Source organism: Homo sapiens, chromosome 1, assembly GCF_000001405.40.
Source record: "Homo sapiens chromosome 1, GRCh38.p14 Primary Assembly".
Classification (NCBI taxonomy): Eukaryota; Metazoa; Chordata; class Mammalia; order Primates; family Hominidae; genus Homo; species Homo sapiens.
The window spans coordinates 117,592,898-117,596,831 of record NC_000001.11 but is presented as its reverse complement, the minus strand read 5'-3'; the positions used below and the strand labels follow the sequence as shown (position 1 = coordinate 117,596,831).

General features: G+C 49.1%; 1 annotated feature.

The window, feature by feature from the left end:
• Positions 468-717: an enhancer, noted in NCBI's record as "active region_1582". NCBI's record gives its function as "activates an Ori minimal core promoter by ATAC-STARR-seq in GM12878 lymphoblastoid cells {active_cell/tissue: GM12878}" and the evidence as "EXISTENCE:reporter gene assay evidence [ECO:0000049][PMID:35858748]".

Genomic DNA, 3,934 nt, shown 5'->3' with positions numbered 1-3,934 from the left:
TACCTGTCTTATGCGGATGTTGTGAGGATGAAGTGGGCTAATTCACACACAGGAAGTTTTCAAAAAATGTCAGCTAGTATTATTCAGGAGGCTTCCCTCTCTGGGACTGAGATTCTTCTCCTGAAAAAGGAGGGAATCTTCCAGAAAATCTCCAGGGCCCCTACCAGCCTGACATGCAGCTCTTGGCAGAGAATGGAGCTGAGGCAGGAGCTTCTTCAAAGACCCTCTCATTGAGGAGCAAGGGACCCTGACCAGCCATTGCCCACTGTTCACCACGTGAGGTCACAGGGACTGTCTGCTAGGCGGCCCCCAGGCCCCTCAGGGAAGACATTGATGTTAGTTTTGTTTTTGTTTTGTTTTCAGTGTAGAAATGTAGCAGAGAAACACAGGGCAAGTCCACGCTGATCATCACATACATGGTACATCAAGAGCAGGGCTGAGCACGCAGTCTAAGACATTGTGTCATCCTGTGGGGCTCAGGCTCCTCATCCATACAATAGGGTCACCCTGCCTGTCACTTGGAGTAACCATGAGAATTACATAAGATAACCTGTGTGACCTGTGAAAGTGTGTGTCCCATCACAGCACCTGGTGCATATCTGTTTTCCTTCCTCTTTTTGGAACCTGAGGCCACCAGCTACCACTGTAATGAGGAACAGAGTTGGACAGAGCTCTACCTTAGGTTGCAACAGAATAAGCTCTTGCAGCTGGCTTCAGATAATGAAGAGTTTTTTTGAAAGTTGCTGGGGTAATGAGGAGACAGGAGTCTCATAGGGACCCCGGACAAAGGTAAGGGAAAGCTGACTTTACAGGACTGAATCTGGGGACTCAAATGTGTCCTGGCAAATCTAGGAATCCATTTTTCTCATGGCCCTCTCAGCAGCATTAGAATTAATGATTTCTGATTATTAATAAGACCTAACTACTTTCTTTTCTAGAGTCTTCTTCCACCACAAATTTTCAACTCCTTTGCTATCCTTTTTTTTTTTTTTAAGACAGGGTCTCACTCTGTTGGCCAGGATGGAGTGCAATGGCATGATTACATCTCACTGCAGCCTCGACCTCCCAGGCTCAAGTGGTCCTCCCACCTCAACCTCCTGAGTAGCTGGGACTACAGGTGTGTACCACCATACCTGGCTAATTTCTTTTTATTTTTTTGTAGAGACGGGGTCTCGCCATGTTGCCAGGGCTGATCTTGAACTCCTGGGCTCAAGCAATCCCCCAGCCTTGGCCTCCCAAAGTACTGGGATTGCAGACATGACCACCACACTCAGCCTCCTTTGCTATCTAAAGTTCAAGCTCCCAGAGAGAATCCAACAGGGTAAGCTGGTACCAGCAACTTTTTTTTTTTTTTTTTTTTTTGAGACGGAGTCTCGCTCTGTGGCCCAGGCGGGAGTGCAGTGGCGCAATCTCGGCTCACTGCAAGCTCCGCCTCCCCGGTTCACGCCATTCTCCTGCCTCAGCCTCCCGAGTAGCTGGGACTACAGGCGCCCGCCATCACGCCCGGCTAATTTTTTTGTATTTTTAGTAGAGACGGGGTTTCACCGTGTTAGCCAGGATGGTCTTGATCTCCTGACCTCGTGATCCGCCCGCCTCGGCCTCCCAAAGTGCTGGGATTACAAGCGTGAGCCACCGCGCCCGGCCCCAGCAACTTTACTTGGGAATGAAGTTTGTTTCTGGCAGCTTCTAGGTTGGGTGTCTTTCATCCAAATGTGCTCAGTTGAGGGCACGGGGGTGGATCAAAGGGCACAGAATAAGGCACAAGTGATTAAGGTACAGCCCAGGGAAACTTCTCTCAGCCGAAGAGATGCCAAAAGCCCGAGGGTTCACGGCTGAATTGAGCTGTCAGCTCCATGGACACATCCGTATCTACAAGCAGCCAGGTGATGCAGCTATTACTCGGCTTTGGCCTTCCCTCCTTTCTCATTGTTTTATTTTGGGGAGAGCCATCCCAGGCCAAAGATCCTCTCCAACCAAGCTGGTGACATTCTCAAAGCAAAAGGAACTACTGTGCTATGAGTCTGTGAGCTGTTATAGCCTGTCTCCCCAGTGGTTCATTTTTGTATGAAAGAGTAAAATAATCACAGGCCTGGCACTTGCAGACCGTACAGGAAAGGTTTTATAACCACTTTGGCCCTCACCTGTGCCAAGTTAGCTAAAGCAGAGGGTGAGATGCCTGTTGCAGCCTGGCCTCTGGGGGTGCAGGTTTCCTGTAACAGCGTTTAGAAATCTGTTTCTATTTCTGAACCATCAGGTTCACAGCCATGTGAACCTGAATGAGGTGACAGCTCTCTCTCATTCTTGCTTACTGGGGGAGATGGGCAGAGGGCAAGACAGAGTAGAGCGCTGAAAGTCGCAGCAGTCAGGGGATGACCCGCCCTGAGTGCTGACAGAAGATGCTCTGATCACTGTGCTATATCTGGACAGAGGACCCACACTGAGGACAAGGCTGCCCTGGAAGAGGATGGAGGGTCTCGTCTCCAGGTGTCAGTCACCCAGATACAAGGCATGTCTCTCAGATTGGAAACAGTGCAGAGCTCCCAGGGAGGAAGTCCTTCCCCTGAGTCTTGACCTGAAGGGTCAAGAGAGGCCCATCTGTGAGCATTAAGTTTATTCCTCCATTGAAGACATTGTTCTTCAAACTTTGAGACCATTGGAACCACCCGGGGGCACTTGTTATAAAGGCGCATTCCCATGTCCCGGCCCTATTCAACCCCTTATTCTGTAGCTCAGGGATGGGACCCAGGGGTCTTTGATTTTTATAAGAAGCCCCTGATAGCCCACGTTCTGCAGGAATGAGTGTTAATTCTAATGTCCTGAAGAAATGCCAGTTTAGGCAGTTCCATTCAAAATCTTCACTGATAAACAAGTCAACCCTAACACCCCTCAGCCCTGGGTATACTCACACCCTCCTTCTTTCTCTTTCCAACCCATCTTGGAAGCCCCCAGTGCTCCATATGCCTGTTTGCACAGGCTATTCCTCAGCCAGGAGCACGTCCCCCACCTTCACATCACAGCTGTGCACATGCCCATGTAGCCACCGTGAGTGCTCTTAAGTCTTAGACTTCTGGTTTTTCAAATAGTCTTCCAAAAACCCACGTCCATCATTGGAGAAATAGGATATTCTGTGTTGCCAAATGTCCGGGCACACTGAGAGATGGTACAAATTAGATGCTTCACTGATTTTATGCACGTTAATCTTTGAAGATGCCTACTTTTATTTATTTATTTAATTTTTTTAGAGACAGGGTCTCACTCTGTCACCAAGGCTGGAAGACAGTGGCATAATGATAGCTCACTGCAGCCTCAACTTCCTGGGCTCAAGTGATGTACCCACCGCAGCCTCCTGAGTAGCTGGGACTACAGGCACGTGCCATGATGCCTGGATAATTTTTTTTTTTTTTGAGACAGAGTCTCGCTCTGTCGCCCAGGCTGGAGTGCAGTGGCACGATCTCGGCTCACTGCAAGCTCCACTTCCTGGGTTCACGCCATTCTCCTGCCTCAGCCTCCCGAGTAGCTGGGACTACAGGCGCCTGCCACTACGCTCGGCTAATTTTTTGTATTTTTTTAGTAGAGATGCTGTTTCACCATGTTAGCCAGGATGGTCTCGGTCTCCTGACCTCGTGATCCACCCGCCTTGGCCTCCCAAAGTGCTGGGATTACAGGCGTGAGCCACCACACCCGGCCTGGATAATTTTTATCTTTTTTGTTTTTTGTAGAGATGGAGTCTCCCTATGCTGCCCAGGCTGGTCTCACACTCCTGGGCTCAAATTATGCTCCCAAAGTGCTGGGATTACAGATGCTAGCCACTGCACTCAGCCTGAAAATGCCCACTTTTATACTGAGCATTTGGCAACTCCCAAACTCTGCTCAACATAATTTAATCTTTAGAGATGAAAAAATTACTTTTTAATCTTCCAAAGCTTTGCTGTCC